Source organism: Homo sapiens, chromosome 8 (assembly GCF_000001405.40).
Source record: "Homo sapiens chromosome 8, GRCh38.p14 Primary Assembly".
Lineage (NCBI taxonomy): Eukaryota > Metazoa > Chordata > Mammalia > Primates > Hominidae > Homo > Homo sapiens.
The window spans coordinates 15482405-15503965 of NC_000008.11; the positions used below are offsets into that span (position 1 = coordinate 15482405).

At 38.7% G+C, this 21561-nt stretch overlaps 1 protein-coding gene and 1 long non-coding RNA gene across 5 annotated transcripts in view, besides 1 other annotated feature; one reads left to right on the forward strand and one right to left on the reverse strand.

Moving 5' to 3' along the window:
• Positions 1–21561, forward strand: part of TUSC3 (tumor suppressor candidate 3) — a 434904-nt gene that overhangs the window by 65217 nt on the left and 348126 nt on the right. Inside the window, exon 2 of one of the 4 annotated variants that reach the window (NM_001413672.1) lies at positions 982–1079. The exons of the other annotated variants lie outside the window; for them this stretch is intronic. The gene's annotated coding sequence lies outside the window, so the exon portion shown is untranslated. The remainder of the gene's footprint in view (positions 1–981; positions 1080–21561) is intronic. 4 annotated transcript variants of the gene reach the window in all.
• Positions 1–21561, reverse strand: part of LOC124902060 (uncharacterized) — a 32974-nt gene that overhangs the window by 8749 nt on the left and 2664 nt on the right. The gene's annotated exons all lie outside the window — the stretch shown is intronic.
• Positions 1312–1503: a silencer, noted in NCBI's record as "fragment chr8:15341225-15341416 (GRCh37/hg19 assembly coordinates)". NCBI's record gives its function as "represses an EF-1alpha promoter that drives an FKBP-Casp9 reporter gene in an ReSE screen in K562 erythroleukemia cells {active_cell/tissue: K562}" and the evidence as "EXISTENCE:reporter gene assay evidence [ECO:0000049][PMID:32094911]".

A 21561-nucleotide genomic window follows, 5' to 3' on the forward strand; every position in this document is an offset into this window, starting at 1 on the left:
GCTCAGATCCATCAAGGCAGCTATAGCGTTATGAATGATAGCACACCTGTTTAAAGTATGGTTTACTGAATATTTTAAGGTCACTGTTGAGACCTGCTGCTTAGAAAAGAAAGATTCCTTTCAAAATGTTAATGCTCATTGACAATGTACTCAATCATATAAAAGCTCTGATGAAGATGTATAAGAAGATTAATGTTGTTTTCATGCCTGCAAACACAACATCCATTCTGCAGGCCATAGATCAAAGAGTAATTTCAAAGTTCAAGTCTTACTGTGTTAGAAATACATACATGAAATAAATGCTATGGTAAAGGAAAACATGATTAAAAATGTATGTACAGAATAATAGCAAATCTGTATATACAGAAATTCCTATGAATGGGAAAAAATAGGAAAAATCCAGTAAACATACAATATTAATTGCAAGGTCTTTGTATGATAGAATACATGACTTTCTTCACCTTTTTACATTTTCTCATGTGTCCCAGAATTAGTATATTTATTACACATTACTTTAAGCGGTGTGTTTTAATAAATTAAAATAAGACCTGTATAAAACACTGGTAATTAAGCTGTAGAAAAATATCAAGTCAAAAGAATGATAATTTAACAGTCACAGACTAAAAGCCAACTTTAATATTTGCAGAACATCATAGAAAATATTCCTCTATTCATACACATTGAACAGGAAAAGAGAAACGGGAAGAAAAGAATAATTTGAGAGGAAAGTGTTAACAGCATATAAGCTCTTTTAAGTTAAATTCTATTAAATTTTTTATATTTTGCAAAAGAAAAAGAAATGGGAGTAAATAGGAATATACTTCTAATTTTCAGGCAAATATTCTTAAGCAACATGGGTTATTAGTTTTTTTAAAAATCCTCTAAGATGAAGAATAAAGAAAAAGCACTGTTTTTGTTGTTGTTGTTGTTGTTTTGTTTTGTTTTGTTTTTTTGAGACGGAGTTTCACTGTCATTGCCCAGGCTGGAGTACAATGGCACCATCTCGACTCACCACAACCTCTGCCTCCCGGGTTCAAGCGAGTCTCCTGCCTCAGTCTCCCAAGTAGCTGGGATTACAGGTATGCACCACCACACCCGGCTAATTTTGTATTTTCAGTAGAGACGGTGTTTCTCCACGTTGATCAGGCTGTCTTGAACTCCCGGCCTCAGGTGATCTGCCCACCTTGGCCTCCCAAAGTGCTGGGATTACAGGCGTGAGCCGTCGTGCCCAGCCTAGCACTGTGATTTTTTTTTTTTTTTTTTTTTTTTGAGACTAAGTTTCGCTCTGTTGCCCATGCTGGAGTGCAGTGGTGCCATCTCGGCTCACTGCAAACTCCGCCTCCCGAGTTCATGCCATTCTCCTGCCTCAGCCTCCCGAGTAGCTGGGACTACAGGCGCCAGCCACAATGCCCGGCTAATTTTTTTTGTATTTTTAGTAGAGACGGGGTTTCACTGTGTTAGCCAGGGTGGTCTCGATCTCCTGACCTCGTGATCCACCCACCTTGGCCTCCCAAAGTGCTGGGATTACAGGCGTGAGCCACCGCGCCTGGCCTGTGATTTTTAACTATGTTGACTGGCCCTCTCTATAAATGTTGAGGTAATTGACATTGCTATGTGTTCTCTTTTTCTCTCCCACCGTATTAGTATGTATGTTATATTAGGTCTATTTGTAGTGAGATTTTTAATATTTACATGCACTTATGCAACCATAAATTTTCTAATTGTTTTCTAAATCCTTCTCATGATTCACCTCTTAAATTAGGTCTATTTTTAGTGAGATTTTTAATATTTACATGCACTTATGCAACCATAAATTTGCTAATTGTTTTCTAAATCCTTCTCATGATTCATCTCTTAACTCAAATGTCCACTCTGCTCTAGCACAATTTCCCAGGAAGCCTTGTGTTATCACATTAATCTCTCCTTATCAGAAATGAATATAATATAGTACTTAATTGTTTTCTAGTTGCTTCATTTGTGCTCATTTCGATTTATGGTTATTTTTATAAAGGTACTGAAGTAAATAAACGCTTTTGTTTTCTTTACATGTGCCAGCACAGTGTAGGACATAGAGCAAGTACGAAATAATCCCATAAAAAATATTTTTGTGAGATACATCTAAGTATTCAGAAAATTATCCAACATGTCTATCTCTTTCTCATTCCGGTGTAGGGCATAGATAAAAAGTAAAATTAATCTTGAGTACCTTGCTCTTCACAAAATACAATTTGGCAATATGTTGTATTATTCTAGGTACACAGAAATCAGATTAACATAGGCAATTCTTGCTTTGCACAGTGGCGCAGAGTCAGAAAACTGAATTTAAGCTGAAACTGCGCAAAGCAATTTTAATATTCAGAGGGGACAAATGTGACAGTTCCATCACTTTTAAAATGTTCATCCAAATAGTAAAAATTCTTACTATCATTTAAAATATATAGAGAAATGGAAAACTTCATAAGACTACTATGTATTTTTACATTCTCATTTAAAACAGGAAATTGAGAAAACTATTTCTTTGTAAAAACTTATTGAGTAACTTGAACTTTGGTTATTTTCTTCTCACAGTATGGCGTATGGTATGGTGTGAGCATCTTTTCTATGTATCAGTGAATTGTCATCCTCTGCCCTAAGTGTGTCTCAGGTCATTCATTTTTCATTTGCACTTTCAGTCAAGAAATATTTCTGAGTTCCTTGAAAGTGAAGTTTTTTTGCCAGCATTGATTCCTCTAGGACACCATTATCTTTTTTGTCATAGCCATATTCCTCATTTGTATCTATAAGGACACCCTCACCAAGTTCCTCTGGCTGCACTTCTAGTTTTTCAGACATCGGCAGTGCAGCATTCTCATTATCAGCTACTTCTTCTATAATTCCACCTGTGTTCTATTAGAATTTCACTTCCAGGGTTCATCACCAGGTTTTGTTTCTTTGCTGCATTTTTATCTTTATTGGCCATTGACTATTTTTGATCACGTGTTTTTGTAAAATATGACATGGGTTTTGTAAAATATAACATGGGTTTATCACAGGGAAGCAATGTCATTATACTCTGTTGTCTTTTTTTTTTTGTTTTTTGTGACACAGAGTTCTTGTCACCCAGGCTGGAGTGCAGGGCCACTTGCATTCTCTGCTCCTCCTCATTGGGCCTACAAACACGAGCTAAACAAAGAGACAGATACCTAATCATGGGTACTTTCCCAAGGAGAAATTTCTCTCTTCTATCTCTACTCCAAAACCACATGCGTCAGTGCAGGGAAGAGTATGTGTTGGGAATGAAGAGTAGGAGGGGAAAGAAGAGAGCAGACCAAGGACAGAGCTTTGCTTTGTATTTTATTGTTTATTTATTTGAGAACTTTGCTTTGAATATGAGTTTGAGTTTTTTGTTTGTTTGTTTGTTTTTTTGAGGCAGAGTTTCACTCTTGTTGCCCAGGCTGGAGTGCAATGGTGCGATGTCACCTCACTGCAACCTCTGCCTCCTGGGTTCAAGTGATTCCTGCCTCAGCCTCCTGAGCAGCTGGGATTACAGGTGCCCACCACCAAGCCCGGCTTATTTTTTTTGTATATTTAGTAGAGTCGGGGTTTCGCCATGTTGGGCAGGCTGGTCTCAAACTCCTGACCTTAAGTGATCCATCCACCTTGGCCTCCCATGGTGCCTGATTACAGACATGAGCCACCTTGCCCAGCTTACTCTGTTGTCTTTAAGTGAATTGAATAACAGATGCACAGTGACCAATTAGCTACAGACTTTGAAAGAAGTGACGTGATTGGTCATTGCTCATGGTGTGTTTGTTATTTATGCAGCTATTTGTCAACTGTAAAGCCGGCTATAATAAGTCTGTACTTTAGGCAGTTATTCACAGTTAATATAGAGTAATCATTAAGACTTGAAGCATGGTTTTCAGGGATAAGTGGTAATTAAAATGTGGTAACTGAAATTTGTGCATATCTGGACTATGCAAAATGACTGCTGGTACTTGGTTTTAATATTATTTTGGTTTGATCATTCTATAATTCTCAAGAATAATCTCTTTACTCTCCTACAATTTTCTTCTTTTTCCATGGAGTCTTGCCCTTTTGCCCAGGTTGGAGTACAGTGGTGCTGTCTCGCCTCACTGCAACCTCCGCCTCCCAGGTTCAAATGATTATTCTGCCTCAGCCTCCCAAGTAGCTGGGATTACAGGCGCCCGCCACCATGCCCTGCTAATTTTTGTATTTTTAGTAGAGATGGGGTTTCACCATCTTGGCCAGGCTGGTTTTGAGCTCCTGACCTCGTGATTCACCTGCCTCCGCCTCCCAAAGTGCTGGGATTACAGGCACAAGCCACCGCGCCTGGCCTCCTCTCCCACAATTTTCTAAGGTAAGCCTATATTTTCCTTTTACTGGTGTTCAGGAATGTATTCTATATTCCTTTCTCATTGAAGCTAGTAGCACTGCAAATATATCTTTAGGTCCATAAATAAGCCTGCATATGCAGTAATAGCAATATATCCAGGGACTGTATTTATTTTTCTAATCACTTAAATCTTGCATCTTTTTAATATAACCGTTAGTTGATTCAGCCAGTCATCTAACACACTATCTTATTTGAAGAAGCAGAAATGTGTGCACTGAAAAGCTTCAGTTTTTATACCAGCATATATTATTAGCTTCCCTTCTTCTATGACAAACCGATAAAATACTATCTAGTCATTCTTCATTGCCTATTAAATTTGAGGAATATTTTCCTGTTTGTTTGTTTAGTTTTATTGTGTTTTAATGATTTTAGTTCTTTATATTTTTCTTCTTTCAATGATCTGACCGTATTTCTACTACTTTGAATTTTTTCTCTACTTAATCTGAAAATATTAACTTTAAACATGCCATGGTGTTGGGTTTTCAAAGCTTCTGAGTATCTTGAGAGCAAGATTTGTCTCGTGATTTATTTCCTCCTTCTGCTGTGTTCATCAGTGTTCATATTAAAGTCTAAATACCTGATTATTTTCTGCCTCAATCAGTTTCTTTTCTAGCATCCAATTCCGTAGCCACAGTCACTGACAGTGGCCAAAGTCTATCTTAAAAGTTTTTAGATGAGTTGAACAAAGCACAATTAATTTATCCATTTGTATTATTATAAGGGCTAGTTTATCCTGGTAGGCTTATGTCTTGTTACTGAGATACTAAACATTTAGAGAAAATATTGATACACAAGATAACACCAGGTCTGTTTTTAGATTCTCAATCTTTCTTTTAGCTGAGCATTCAAATTATAAGTGCTGTACCACCTAATCTGTTACTCCAATATCAGCACATCTTTCTTTATATGCTAAAGTATTTATTTGCAAACGAAACATCCAATTAGCCTATTATTTTTCTAAATTCTATCTCCCATGTTAGATGTTTCCAAGGATCACTTCATTTGACATCGTTGTTTTAAAATTTCAAAAGCAAACTATATCTAATTTATTATCTCGTTTTACTTTAGTGTTTTCATTACTAGAATAGTGTGCTGGCAATTTTTTTTTTTTTTTTTTTACTGAAAAGAAGAGTAGCAGCATATTATTGAAAACACTCTCGTCTGAAATTCAGGTGATCTGAACTCTATTCCTTAATCTAATATAGGCAGTGTGGTCTCCAAAAAGTCAATTTTCTAAGCATCAGTTTCATTATCTATAAAATGATATGCATTTGAGAAGGGAAGGAAGATTTAAAGTAGAAAATGTCACGATTCTTTGACTCTAAGTCCCCTCTTTATTGAAGTTTCCTTTTCCTGAGTAACCTAAAATTCTTCTTCACTATCCACTTTGAATACACTTATTTATCTCTAAAGTGTTTTTGTTGGCTGTGTGTGGTGGCTCAGACCTATAATCCTAGCAATTTGGGAATCCAAATTGCTTGAGCTCAGGAGCCCAGGACCAGCCTGAACAACATAGACCCCATCTCTACCAAAAAAAAAAAAATTAAAATAAATAGCTGGGTGTAGTGGCTCGCACCTGTAGTCCTGGCTACTTAGGAGACTGAGGCTGGAGGATTGCTTGAGCCCAGGAGGCCAAGGCTGCAGTAAGCCATCATTGCACCACTGCACTCCAGCCTGGGTGTCAGAGTAAGACCCTCTCTCAAAAATAAACTGTTTTTTTGTCATCTTGGTAATAAAATAGACAATGTTGTGTCCCCACCAAATTTATAAGCCCTAATCACCAGTGTGTTGTTTATTTGGAGGTAGGTCCTTTGGGAGCTCATTAGTTTTAGATGACGTCATGAGGGTAGAGTCCCTATGATGAGATTAGTGTCTTTATAAGGAAAGAAAGATGTCATAGCTCATTTTCTTTCTCTCCCATATGAAGATGTGGCAAGAAAGTGCAGACTGTAAGCCAGGAAGGGGTCCTTACCAGACACCAAATCTGACGGTGCCTTGATCTTAGACTTCCCAGCTATGAAACTATGAGAAATAAATGTTAGTTGCATAAGCCACTCAGTCTATAGTATTTGTTATAGCATCCCAAATTGACTAAAACAGTCATCTTCTTTCTGTCAAATGGGAATATGAATAAGTATGCTGACTTTGACCTTCCCCAGTAATCTCAGTCTCTTGGCTATTCAGGATAGAGTGTGTTGATGAAAAAGAGAGAAACTGTAAAATATTTATAGAGACTTACTCTGAGTCAAATATGAGTGACCAAGACTGAGGGCAGAGTCTCAAGAGGTCCTGAAAACATGTGTCCAACATGGTTGGGTTACAGCTTGATTTTATACATTTTAGAGGGACAGAAGCTCCAGGTATGCATCAGTCAATACCTGTAAGGTCTACATTGGTTCAGTCGGGAAAGGCAGGACAACTTGAAGTAGGGGTTTCTGGGTCATATGCAAATTCAAAGATTTTCTAATTGGCAATTGACTGGAGGAATTAAGTTGTTATTTAAAGACCTGGAATCAATAGAAAGGACTGTCCAAGTTAAGGGGTTGTGGAAACCAAGGTTCTTATTATGCAGATGAAGTCTCACAGATGGCCACCCTTAGAGAAAATAGATGGCAGCTGTTTTCTATTCAGACCTTTAGAAGTTGCTGGACTCTCAGCTAATCTCTTCAGGATCAGAAAAACACCTGGAAAGGGAAGAGGTTTCTCTGCAGAATATGAATTTCCTCTACAAGAGAAAGCTTTGAGGGGCCATTTCAAAATATGTCAAAGAGTTACGTTTTGGGGTGAGATATTTCATTTCTTTCAGGATCTGCTGTCATGTGATGCTATACTACAGTTACATTGGAATTTGGTATCTCACTGCCACAAAGAGTCTGTTTTGTCAGTCTTAAGATTTCTGTTTTAATGTGAATGTTGGCCAGTTGCGCATGAATTCAAAAGGGAGAAAAGTATAATGAGGCATGTCTGACCCTCTCTTCCCATCGTGGCCTAAAATAGTTTTTCAGGTTTACTTTGGAATCCCCTTGGCCAACAGATGGGGTCCATTCAGTCCCTTGGGCTTAGAATTCATAATATATTCTATTCTGAAACAAATCAGATACATAAGATAAAAGATTAATTCTGATATGGCTAGAAAATCCTATATTGTAAAGTTTTGTAATTCTGTTGGTGCTGAAATAGTCAAAATAAGAAATTTATCTCCTTTTGTGTTGTTTTACTAGGACATTCTAGCAGTGAGGCTTTAATCAAGAACATGGTGTCCTTAAGTATGTAAAACAGAAGGAATTTGTTAGAATTTTTTGTTTGTTAGTTTGATTTGGTTTTATTTACTATTTTTTACATGGATATTGGAAAAGCTAGAACAACAAACAAGTGATGGTGAGTAATCCTAAACATTAGGACCAATCTGAAGCCATCACCATCTCTAGACAGGAGAAACAAAGAGAAGAGACACTGTTACCAGAGGGCAGGAGACAGAGTCACATCCAAATGCAGGTGGAATTCTGGCAGGATTGTCTTTTGGGAGCTGAGTCTAAAGAATTCATGACTTCTATCAGAGTTGCTCAAGACGGAGGAGGAGGAGAAACACCCTAACTTTCTCCTCTCCTGTTTCCCCACCACCACCACTACCATCATCACCACCCTGCAATTTTCCAGCAGCCCCTCCCATTGGGTGCACTCAACTGAAGGCCTGCTGACGTTGAGGTTTGGGAAATGCAGCCTGCAGAGGCCAGCACTGAAGGAGAACAGCAGAGAGGGGATTTGGGAGCTCCCAAGCCCAGCTCAGACACAAAGTGTGCAGCTGCCAGGTGTGCTGGGTCTTCATCCTATAAAACATGATACATTTGCCCTAAAAGAGATGCTGATTTATGTGTGACAAACAAATCATTTCCTTCTGCAATAAAGGGTGCACTCATCAAAAATAATACTTTGTTTTATACTATTTAACAAAATGAAAGAAAGTCACCAAAACAATCTGTTACAGGAGATATTTTTCTCATAACTTCACAAGCTAGATTTGTGTTGTAAATCAAAGAAAATCACTGAGGCAGGTCTAGTCATTCTTAGAAGTTTATTTTTCCAAGGTTAAGGACACACCTAGGAAAAAAGGAACACAAAACTATCAGAAAAAATTACAGTGCTCCATGCTTTCTTCCAAAGAGGGTCTGGGGCCCCCCCAATCTTTAAAGAGAAAAGAGAGGACATACGGTTGCTTCCTTTTGAGTTTCTGATCAGCGTTCACTGAACACACATTTTACATATGAGAAGGGGGTAGAGGAATAGTCACAGATGCATTTGTCTCGTGCTCAGTGAATCTGCATTTTTATATAAGATAAAATAAAGATAGGATAGAGAAAGCAGTCAGACCTGCCTTTGTCTCAGTAGAGTGAAGGGATGACTTTGAGTTCTGTCCTTTGTCCCGTACCTATGAGGATAAGCTATCAATTTACACTGTCCCTGTGAAATTTGATAGAACTGTGTGTTAGGGTAAAGATCTTGGGGCCCACAAGGAATTTCCCTGTGAGTAATACGTGAGGGAGGTATGTAGCTATCTAGGAACAAAATGGGAGGCAGGTTTGTGTGACCCAGTCCCCAGCTTGACTTTTCCCTTTGGCTTAGTGAGTTCAGGATCCCAATTTTTTTTTTTCCTTTCAGTGTTACAAATCAGAGTGAGTCTTGTAAATCTACCCAAAGGTTTAGGTAACTAAGGCATGAAGAAATTTCTAGTCAAGAGATAGAGTTAAAAACCTATTCTTTAATCACTGAATTTTTATCTTTTTGCTTACATACACTGTGACAAATAGGGCTAATTGTTTTGGGAAGTGATTCTCTAACCCTTCTGTGCAATATTCTTTCTCCAGCTGATTTACAAGGAAGAGGCTGGAGAAACTAAGGCTAAGCACCATCTGGGAACCTTGTACGATTTTTGTCTACTACCGGCCAACGCAGAGACATTTGCTGAAGAAAACAGGCTGAACACAGCCTGAATTCCTCAACAAGTTCTATCACTAACAATAAGTTAATAGCTAACATTTGATGACAACATTCCATATGTTAGACTCTCTCCTAAGTAGTTTTTAATGCATTCGCTGTTCCACATAATTTAATTTACTTTATATATTTACAACTTTAATACTCTTTACCGTGGCTACTTCCATCTAACTACTTATAGTTACCTCAAATCTCTGAGCAGTCTCATACCTCCAGGTTTTTGCATGTGGCTCCTGCTTCCTGAAATGCCTTTACTCCTCATATTCCTGGCTATGTCTTACTCACTGACTTATTTGTAAACCATTTGTTGAGTACTTACCATATGGCAGTCTTTTTGGCTGCCATCTTGGAGTTAGTTGACCAGGCTATAGATATGTGCAGGGGGTTGTGGAGCACAGAGGAGAAGAATCTGAATCTTACTTGGGTACGTTAATAATATGAAGAGCGATGGGAGTTAGCACGAACTCAAGAAGAGCCTGTTCTTTAAAGTCTTTCCTGACTGACCACCCTCAGATCAATAACATTTAATATTAAAGTCACAGTTAACATTAACCTCTTGGTATTAATATCATTCCCACTTTATTATTTAAAAAACTTATATGCAATACAGGCTTGTCTGCACAGTTCTAGAAGGCAAGATTAAAGTCAGTAGGGGGAAAGTCACAAATATCCTCATTTGTTTTCACTTTAAACATGAAATATTCTGACTTTAAGACTGCCCCAAGACTGAAGACTTGAGGTGGTAAGAGACCTATTTCTGGAAGTGTTTAAACAAAAACTGGATGACATGGGAGATTTGACTTGGTGACCACTCAGATAACTTCAGACACAAATTAAATAATTTTTAAAATGTCACGTAACAGGCTGGGCACAGTGGCTCACACCTGTAATCCCAGCTCTTAGGGAGGCAGAGGTGGGAGGATAGCTTGAGCCCAGGAGTTTGAGACCTGCCTGGGCAATATAGTGAGATCCCGTTCTCCATAAAAAGGAAAAAAAAAAAAAGTGTAATAATATGTCATTTAACAATATCCATATGAGTTTTTATCTTTGCATATATAGAATATGCAAAATATTATAATTAGGTAGTTGATTATCTAGTGATAATTATCTCTTCAACAAGTCCTAAAACATCATGAAAAAAAGACAAAACTGTTGCCACTGCACTCCAGCCTGTGTAACAGAGAAAGACCCTGTCTCAACAAATAAATACATAGACAAAACTGATAATAGTGGCTACCACTTATTAAACCTCTACTGTGTTCTATGAACAGTGCTAGGTTTTATAATCTTTAATACACAAAAAAAATCCTGCAAGGTAGATATTATTAACAGAATAAGGATGAGTGTTATTGAGTAACTTATCCAAAGTGACAAAGTGAATGAAAGAACCAAAAATTCCACCCTGGTCTCTGATGTTTCTGTATTATTTGACTCTATTGTATGAGTCCAACTTTCAGACATCAACTTTTTTTTTCTTTAGAGACAGGAGACAGGGTCTCTCTCTGTTGCCCAGGCTAGAGTGCAGTGGCTCAATCATAGCTCACAGCAGGGTCAAACTCCTGGGCTCAAGTGATCCTCCTGCCACAGCCTCCTGAGTAGTTGGGGTTATACAGGCATGCCCCATCATGCCTGGCTACTTTTTGTATTTTTTGCATAGACAAGATCTTGCTATGTTGCCCAAGCCGGTCTCGAACTCCTGGCCTTAAGCGATCCTCCCATCCCTGCCTCCCAAAGTGCTGGGATTACAGGTGTGAGCTACTGAGCCCAGCACAGATATCAACTTAATAAAAAGAATTAGCAAATATTTGCCAAACATTTGGTACTGGAACTATACTAGGGAGGTGCAATGAAATTAACAAATAAACATAAAACATAGTTGCTGCCCTTAGGGAATGAACTATCCAATTAGAAAAAGAAGACACTGCATATTGAAAAGCTAACTTAAGAATCAAGTTCAAAAAGTGAGCCCCCAAAATAAAACTTACATTAAGTGTACGTCTGGAATGACCAAGTAGCCAATTATAACCTTTCCGATTGAGTTTGGAAACTGAAATATCAAAATGTCTAAATATCACCCTTCTTCATAGCTGAAGGAGTATCCTGATGATTTCCACTAAAAAGACCAATAAATATGCTGTAACCTCTTCAGTGACTTCTGGACGTACAGTTTGCCCTTTGATTTACAAGGCCAGCTGGTATTTACACAACATGGTATTATTTGCACTTCTTTCTCTTACACTCGTGGCATGCTTGAGATCTTTGTTCAAAAATAACCCCACCATACCAGCCTGCTGCTATACCAGCTGCTCTGCTGTCTGCTGCTGCTATTGTCCTCACAGTCTTTATTTGGCTGTTTCGAGTTGTCTTTCCATTGTCAGATACAGTCGATGAAATATGGATCTGAATTCCTTCATAGTCCGTGGATGTCGTATGGCGTTTATTATCTAAATGGTGTGAGTGACATGTAGCAATATTTTTTACTGATGTCTCAGGCCCCTGAATCTCCATAGGGCTTATCTCTCATCTTCTTTTTTTTTTTTTTTGAGACAGAGTCTCGCTCTGTCGCCCAGGCTGGAGTGCAGTGGCGCGATCTCGGCTCACTGCAGCCTCTGCCTCCCAGGTTCAAGTGATTCTGCTGCCTCAGCCTCCGGAGTAGCTGGGACTACAGGCGCATGCCACCATGCCCAGCTGATTTTTTGTATTTTTATTAGAGACGGGGTTTCACTGTGTTAGCCAGGATGGTCTCAATCTCTTGACGTCGTGATCTGCACGCCTCAGCTTCCCAAAGTGCTGGGATTAGAGGCGTGAGCCACCGCACCTGGCCTCTCATTTTCTTATCAAGATTTCCAGCACACTAACCACCTTTGCACGTCCTATTTAAACAATGTTATGTCAATACCTGTAATGGAACAGTGTGGCATCACACAGAATATCCAGACAGAACGGACTTTTCTGGACTGTATTATGACAAAGGGTGAAATAGACAATGCAGCCCTGCAACAAAAACTGGAATTAGGGAGTTTTCTTTTCTTGTGTAACTGCAAGCTCTTTCTGTTTCTCCTTTTTGATAGGAATGATAAAGAGCTCATTCACCAAATCTATAGCTGCATATTATCTACCTGGGGCCATTTTTAAACTTTTCTCTTAATAGCAAAAACATTGTGTCCATGTGTACTCAATGTTTAGCTCCCACTTATAAGGAACATGCAGTATTTGGTTTGCTGTTTCTGCATGAGTTTGCCTAGGATAATAGCCTCCAGCTCCATCTTTGCTGCTGCAAAATACAGGATCTCATTCTTTTTTATGATGGCATAGTATTCCCTGGTGTATATGTACCATATTTTCTTCATCCACTCAACCGCTGATGAGCATTTAGGTTGATTTACGTATCTTCCACCCTTTAGATAATAAAGAGTGGCCTCAATTTTTGCCATCCCTCTCTGGGATAAAATATTTGTTTTGATTTCAGTCTTGGCTGGAGTAGAAAGGAGCAGTTTCAGAGGCTTCTACTTTGTCTCCCCAAATGTGATAGATCACACCTGACAAAGAACCCAATGTTGGTGTTTTGTCAAATGCCAATTATTTATCTTCCTAGTATATAGTTTAAAACCGTGGAAATGACCTTCAGGTGAGTTCACATACCCAGTGAACCCACTGTGCCTGAACCTCCAGCAGGACTCCATTTATTATCTGTTCTACATATGTCCTACCTCTAGCAAGGCCCCAAGAGGATGCTTTTGGTTTCCAGGTATTAGTGACTACTCATATTCTTTGTCTAGCAGCCCTTGAAATGTTTGTGTATTCCCCTCCCCTAATGCACAATTCTACCCAAGAAAATAAGCACAGCTCCCTTTGGGGGGCAGTATGGGAGCCTCCACCAAGTATACCTGCCATGATCTTGCTGGGTTACTCTTCCAGGGAAAATGGACTCTTCCTGGAGTCAGTGGGCTCCATGTCCAAAAACTGGCAAAGGTATAGAAATTGAGAAAGAGATCATAGGCTTATATTGGAGAAATTGCACTCAGACTTATAACCATCCACTTTTAGTTTCTTTTGATAGTACAAATGGAGTAGTATCCTTGTTTACTACTCATTTATTTTGCCTCCAGGGTCACTATACACTATTTAAATTTGCAGGCCCCTACCTGACCCTTCTACCTTGCATTTAATAAAAATATTGCACCTACCTGATTTATGACAGTGAATCTAACCAAGTGGCCTCTACTGTTCCAGAATCCCATCACCCTTATTTTATTTTTGAGCCTAACTGTCTAATAGACTCAACTTTGTCCTGTAGAGGAAAGCCACGACCACTAAAATTAGTGATGCTCATGCCCCTCTCAATACCATGTTCTATACGTCCTTGATAAATGATGTACTCTCTGGGTCTCACTGTAGCACAAAATCATCTGCTACATTTTCTAGCTTCACACAGCATATCCATTCCAGCATATTCATTTCTCTGTGCCTTTTAACATATGTTCTGCCCTCTGCTAAAGCAATATCTGGCACTCCAGTTTCACTTAGTGTAGGCTATTAATTATTCCACGCCTCTAGGGGCCATCCTAACTGTGAATTTGTGCTGTCTCCTAGGGTCCTTGTCAGAGTGTTCAATCCAATATTCTGGAATAGTGATCTCAAATTAGTCATTTTCACTTATCCAACCTTAAATATTGGCCATCTTGATCAAACACCCTCTGAGTTCAACCCCTTGTATGCTGTCCTAGCTTCTGATACATGCCGACAAGGTCTTACTTTTGGGAGAGAGTGATTTTTCTCCCTTACCAGGCTCAGCACATTTCCAGCTGGGCTATTCTGTGCCTTGACCCTAGATACAGGCCCAGTGGTTAAGTGGGGAGTAGGAACAGACCCTGAGAAACGCATATGCTGTCTTGGATGGAAGAAGCATCTACATCACCTCTAAGCAAAGGAGTGTGGGTCATTTTAACAGGGAGAGCTGGGTCGTTTTAGCACGGTCATTACACTTACTATTTCCCCCATATTTCTCACACTCACGATACATCACACCAACTAATTCATTCCTTTCCATTGGCATACCATAACAGAGTTAGAAGAAGCTGGTAGTAGAAATTTAGGAAAAATAAAAAGATGAATTTATTCATTCATTGCACGAATATTGATAACTTACTACCTGCCAGAACCTGTTTTAGATATTAGGAATACATCAGTGAACAAAACAGAAAAAAATCCTCTATCTCTAAAAAGATAGGGGAAGCAGATGATGAGAAATAAACATAGTAAATAAGGAAATGACAAAATACGGAAAATACGGTAAGTGCTATCAGGAAAAATGGAGCAAAGTAAGAGGAATAAAAGGTATGGTGGTTGTCGTTTCAAATTAATGGCGTATTCTTGGTAAGCATCTCTGAGAAGTTTAAGTTTGAGCAGGGACTTGGTAGATAAATGAACCATGGGCATTTAGAGTGTTAGCGTCTGCTTCCAAGTCCCAATTCCCACCGGGTGATTTAAAGAGGGCCCAGTGATGTGTAGAAAGCAGTGGGACACAATAGAAGAGACATATCCTCAAGCTTAGGGTACCCAAATCTTTTATAATGAGCAGTAAGCCTGCCTCGCTCTTGCCCTGAAGGAGACACTATCCAAGGATGTTTGCTAAACGAACATGTTAAAATTAGATTCCAGAACTAAGGGAGCTAGTGCCTTTTCTTAGAAAACTTACACAAACGCTATAGACCCATGAAGAATTGTCTCCTTTGACGAGGGCAATTCTTCGGAGGGGTGGCATTTAAAGCTAATTGAAGTGAGTTCTGGAGGGAATGAGAGGAGAGGATTTAGAGAATACGAATATAGACAATTATGTTGTGGAGTTTTGCTATGAAGGAGGACAGGTAGATTGTGTAATAGCTGGAAGGAAAATGCACGCAAGAGAAGTTTTCTTTTTTCTTTCTTTTTCTTTGTTTCTTCTTCTTTTTTTTTTCTTTTTCTTTTTTTGAGACAAAGTCTCGCTCTGTCTCCCAGGCTGGAGTGCAATGGTGTGATCTCAGCTCACTGCAACCTCCGCCTCCCGGGTTCAAGTGATTCTCCTGCCTCAGCCTCCTGAGTAGTTGGGATTCTGTAATCTCTCCTGCCACCATGCCCAGCTAATTTTTATATTTTTACTAGAGATGGGGTTTCACCATGTTTGCCAGGCTGGTCTCAAACTCCTGACCTAAAATGATCCGCCCCCCTTCGGCCTTCCAAAGTGCTAGGATTACAGGCACGAGCCACTGTGCCCGGCTCTGTTTTTGTTTTTTAAGATGGAAGAGACAAAAGTAGGTTTGTATGCTGATGATGACCTATCAAAAAGGAAAAATGGATAATTTAGGATAAGAGATGTAAAATTGCTGGGATAGTTACCTTTGAGTGGAGAAAAACAGATGAGTTTATTTAGGAATGTAGGTTTTAACCTTAAGATTGTACCTTCCAGTGGATAAAGATCATAAGAACACAGATTGAGTAGACTAATAGATGCAGTGGAGTTTCTGGAAGCTCTCATTTGATTGCTTCAATTTGCTCAGCGATGTAGGAAGCAAGTGCAAAAGCTGAAAGTGAAAATAAGAGAGAAGGTGTTGGAGATGTGAATAGAAGAATAGATGTATTAATAAAATAGTACTGTAGGAGAACCGGAGCAGGGAAGCACCGGAAAACTACAGTTTAAGAGCCATGAAAATGACCTTCAGGTGAGTTGCCAAGGAATCCACCCAAGGATCCTAGCGATGAATTTGAAGTTGAATCGCTCTACATGGTTTTGTCTATTTCTAACCTTGATTAATTGCACAAGTGCAGATGTGAATTAGGTGGAGAGTTGGAAATAACCTATGTTTTAGATTTTCCCCTCTTCTGCCAGTTGCCTTCTTAGTCAAGCTCAGAAACAATGAAAATGATGCTGATTCTGGTTTGTTCGAATGCATTCCAGTTTTGTTTGTTTCCTTTCCTTGAAATAAGGGTTTTCTTCCTTCCTGCTGACCCAGTTGACATGTAGAGACTTTCAGCCACCACCAGAGGCAGAGAGATAACTTTCCCCAGCTCCTTCACCAATTCCTACAATTGTGTATAGTCTAATCAGTACAATGAATTCTTATATCCCATATTACTTATAGTGTTCCTGTTTACCGGATTGAATTCTCAACTGATACAGGTGCCTTTTATTTTTTCTCATAGACCTTATGGAACTAGTCCTGAGAGTAGGTAGTTATTTTTTTCTTTTTTTTTCTCCTGTGGGTTCCAAATTATTCTCTCCATTCTTCTCCAACTTGCCCCAACTCTTGCCATCAGACTCCATCACCCACTACTTTTCATGGTTACTATCATCCTGATGCTTTAATTTCTGGTTCACTGTGCCTCTTGTTAATGCCAAGCCCCACTAGCCTCTCTCTCTCTTTCTATGTTTTACTCTCTATCCTTCTGCCTCTCTCTTACCTGAAATTATTTAAACATTTTATTTGCATTTCTATGTTTTCCTTATCAACATTTACTTTTCAAACCATAAAAGGCACAGGTCAAAGTGTGCTTTTAAATCAGTTTTGTCATATGTATACACCCATGTTAACATCATCAAATCAAATCTAGAACTTTTGCATTATCTCAGAAAATTCTATCATATCCATTTCCAGTCACACTCCACGCCTCTGACCTCAGCAATCAGGTAATAATTCTTCTGATATCTATCACTACAGAGCAGCTTTGCCTATATTTGAAGTTCATGTCAATGGACTTATAATGAGATAAATGGCCTCTCTTTTGTGTCTGCATTCTGTCATTCAACATAATTTATAATCCAATGCTCATTCTTGGTATGATGGTTAATTTTATGTGTCAACTTCACTGGTCCACGGGGTGCTTAGATATTTAGTTAAACATTATTCTGGGTGTGTCTGTGAGGGTGTTTCTGGATGAAATTAGCATTTGAATTGGTAGACTGAGCTTTCTGCCTATCTTTGAGCTGAGACATCAGTCTTCTCCCTACACCATTAATGTTCTTTTTCCTCCCTGCAGCTTGTCAACTGTAGATTCTAAGACTTCTCAGCTTCCATAAGTGTATGAGCCAAATCCTCATTTTACATACATACATACGTACACACACACACATTCTGTATTCTGTTTCTCTGTAGAACCCAGATGAATACACTTGGCAATTTCAATACCAATATAGATCATATTTCCAGCACTCTATATTTTAAACTCCATTCCTTCAATAATTTTATTTTCTAACCCATCTTAGCCATTTATTGTCTTGGTTCAATTGTCTGGCCATCATCATAACCATCATTTTCATATATCCTCTATTACCTTGACTGTCTTTCATTGTTGCCAACATTGACAAAGCAGGTGACCTGCAAAAGCAGCTAGAGTCTTTCTCTACGGAGCTGTACACGTATCTGGTGGTGGCCTCTGGTGGTGGCTGAAAGTCTCTGTATGTCAACTGGGTATTCTATCAAGAATCTTGACAGAAGTTAGTAGATCAAAGGAAATCAGTTTTGTTTTGTTCCGTATCTAATGCAAGTTTATTGTTTTCAAAAGCCATTATTTTATGTTACTTGTTTTCAACCTAAATTACCACCAAAGGTCCCATAGACTATTTTCCCTCTATAGTCATCACATTTTTAAAAAATCACCATTGGGATTTTTTAGTCAATCGGAGATCTAACTGCCAATCATAATTTTAGATCATTGAGAACTAGTCACTGTTAACACACAAAAAAGGAAACCAGCATTTCAGTTGATCTAAGACAGTTTACAAAGAATGATTGTCTCTTATTTGCTTAGCTTTTAAAAATATTGAAAATGATGTAGGCACCAGTTGAACCTGGTAGATGAATCAAATCTTTTTTAAATTCCCCTTTTAAAACAAACCCTAAAACACTCAGTAAAAACAGCAAATCATTTATAAGTTATTAATCTACAAAGAGAAAGAGAATGTGACAGGAAACATCAGTAGATAAATCATTTAGCAAAGTTTCGGAACTTGAAAAGTCCCATGATTTATTTTCTGTTCATGAATATTAAGCCTTCAGCACCTGTCAAAATGAAAGAATCTCAGTTTTCTTTCTTTCAACTGGTCACTAGCCTTGGCCTTTTTAACCTTTTTCAAGAGCAACCAAACATAATAACTTTAAATTCTTACAAGGTATAACATAATAACTTTAAATTCTTATAAGGTACAGAAAGTAACTCTTTCTGTATAGCTATAATACCAAATAACAGTTTTCCTTTGTATTCTTGCTATCTTCCTTGACCCACCCAAGTCTAAGACAGACAGTTTATAAAAACTTAGGACACTGTAAACATTTGGCCCCTAGCATCTCCTTACATCACTTTTGGTATTTCTACACTCCTTCATCCTGACCTTTAACCACAAAAGACTGCAAGGTTTCTCTAACATGTTTTTCCCTTTTGAGGATTTGCTAACCAATTTTCTCTCTCTGGACTTTCCTTCTCTTTACTTCATAATTTTATCTATGAAAACACTCTCTAGGCTTAAATAAAATGCATCCCTTTTCCATGAATCCTTCTTGGAACCCAAAGTTTGGATCAATTGTCCTGTCTTTGATGCACACATGGTACTTTCGCTATACTTCACTTTGGCAATGAGCAAAACTTGACACATGTTGATTACAACAGGAGGTCTTAAGTTACTGGAAAATAAGACAATGCCATATTCATCTTAAATCACTAGTGCCTAAACTACTGTAGCTGCATAGTAAATGTTTATTGAATCTGGAATCATGGTAGGTTTTCTTTTCATCTTTTCAAATTGGTCACAATGTTTTGGGAATGGGAAAGAAGAAGCTACAATGGTTTATGGCAATGGGCTTAACCTGACTCCCACAGGTACTCAAGCAGTTTCGTCAGAGGCTACATATTACTCTCTTCCTGTCCTTCCATCTTTCTTCTCCAACAAATGGCAATAGTAATAGTGATAGATAACACTTACTGAGTGCTTAATGTATATCTAACAGGATGCTGATTGCCTTACTTATTTGTTTTCAGTGCTCTTTCAGAAAGTTTTTACCAAAGTCATACTGGTAGACAGTTAAAAATCAAATTGTATTTGAAAAAGTATTTAATAACACAGTCTCTTATCCTACCTGTGTCCACCTTAGTTCAGTCTTGATCTCTGGAAGTAACGACTGATAACTTTTAATCTATTCCTTCTGACGTTTACCTTTATGTTTCTAAGTAATATGCTCATTATGTTTTGATTCATATATTTTAATCATCTATTGGTTTCCTTTATACAACCATCACTTATGTGTTATCACCATCTATCTATTCAATATACTTATGCTATAACTTTTAGTTGAAGCAGCAGAGTTTAAATTGTGTTGACAGTGTAAACACTGTTCACGTGTAAGTCAAATTGCAAACTATGATTTTTGTCTTTCTTTGCGCAAGTTTTTGCTGAAGTCTACAAACTGCTTATTTCTTCACTTGCTTAGTTTCGTGTATATATTCTTATTTTTTCCCAAATGCCCAATTAAATTGTTAAATATCTAAGCAATATTTTTTTGAAGTTCAATTATATCATAGTCCATCTGTTCTATTCACCTTTTTCAGCCCTCAGACTGCTTTTCAGAATGCCATCCTTCTGCAACCATCAGGACTAGATTGACACTTCTTTTTATTAGAGCTCCTATGTCGGATTATCATTTCCCGGATCCAATATATATATTTTCTTGTTTGTTTGTTTGTTTGTTTGAGACGGAGTCTCGCTCTGTCGCCTGGGCTGGAGTGCAGTGGCGCGATCTCCGCTCACTGCAAGCTCCACCTCCTGGGTTCACACCATTGTCCTGTCTCAGCCTCCCAAGTAGCTGGGACTACAGGAACCCACCACCACACCTGGCTACTTTTTTTGTATTTTTAGTAGAGTCAGGGTTTCACCGTGTTAGCCAGGATGGTCTTGATCTCCTGACCTCGTGATCCCCCTGCCTTGGCCTCCCAAAGTGCTGGGATTACAGGCATGAGCTACCACAGCAGGTCCCTTAGATCCCATATTTTTATCAATCTTTTCTTTATCCTACATTTTGCAGAAGCTCATCTTTGAGTGCCTTCCCAAAAAGAATGCCAGTGAGTTACTCATTTTACTCCTTACATGTTTGACGAAGTCTTTATTCTATTTTTTATTTGATCAGTAATTTGGCTGAACTTAGAAACCTTATGATTTTAAAGGTATTTTACTTACAGGGTTAGAGAAATTTAAACCATTCTGAGACCCATCCTTGTGTGAAACCAGTTACGGGTTTATGTCCACTTTCCCGCCATTTATATGCTGAAGTCTTAAATCCCCAGAACCTCGGAATGTGAGTGTATTTGGAGGGTTGGGTCTTCAAAGAGGTAATTATATTAAAATGAGATTATTACGGTGGGCCTTAATCTAACATGACAGATGTGGACACAAATACATACAGAGGAAAGACAGTGGGAAGACACAAGGACAATATGGCCATCTACAAGCCAAGGAGAGAGGCCTCAGAAGAAACTAACCCTGCCGCCTCCTGTATCTTAGACTTGTAGGCTTCAGAACTGTGAGAAAATAAATTCTTGTTTGAGCCACCCCGTCTGTGGCACTGTGCTATGGCAGCCCTGGAAAACTAATACTTGACATACTTTTTTTTTCTGGATACTTCTAGGACCTTCTTCTTCTGCCCTATGATCTGAAATTTCTCAATAATATGTATTTTCAATTTAAGTAGGCTTTGCTTCCTTCAACTTAATGAGACCCTATCTCTAGAAAAAATTAAAAATTAGCCAGACATGGTGGCTCACACCTGTAGCCCCAGCTACTCACAAGGCTAAGAAGGGGGGATTGCTTGAGCCCAGGAATTCGAGGTTGCAGTAAGCTACGTTCGTACCACTCCACTCCAGCCTGGGTAACAGAGTGAAATCTTGTGTCTTAAACAAAAAAATATCGGCCAGCCACAATGGCTCATGCCTGTAATTCCGGCACTTTGGGATCCTGAGGCGGGTGAATCACTTGAGGCCAGGAGTTTGAGACTAGCCTGGGCAGCATGGCAAAACCCATCTCTACTAAAAATACAAAAATGGTAATGGCTCCACAGCTGGGTGTGGTGGTGCACACCTGTAATCCTAGCTACTTGGGAGGCTGAGGCACAAGAATTGCTTGAACAGGGGAGGTGGAGTTGCAGCAAGCGGAG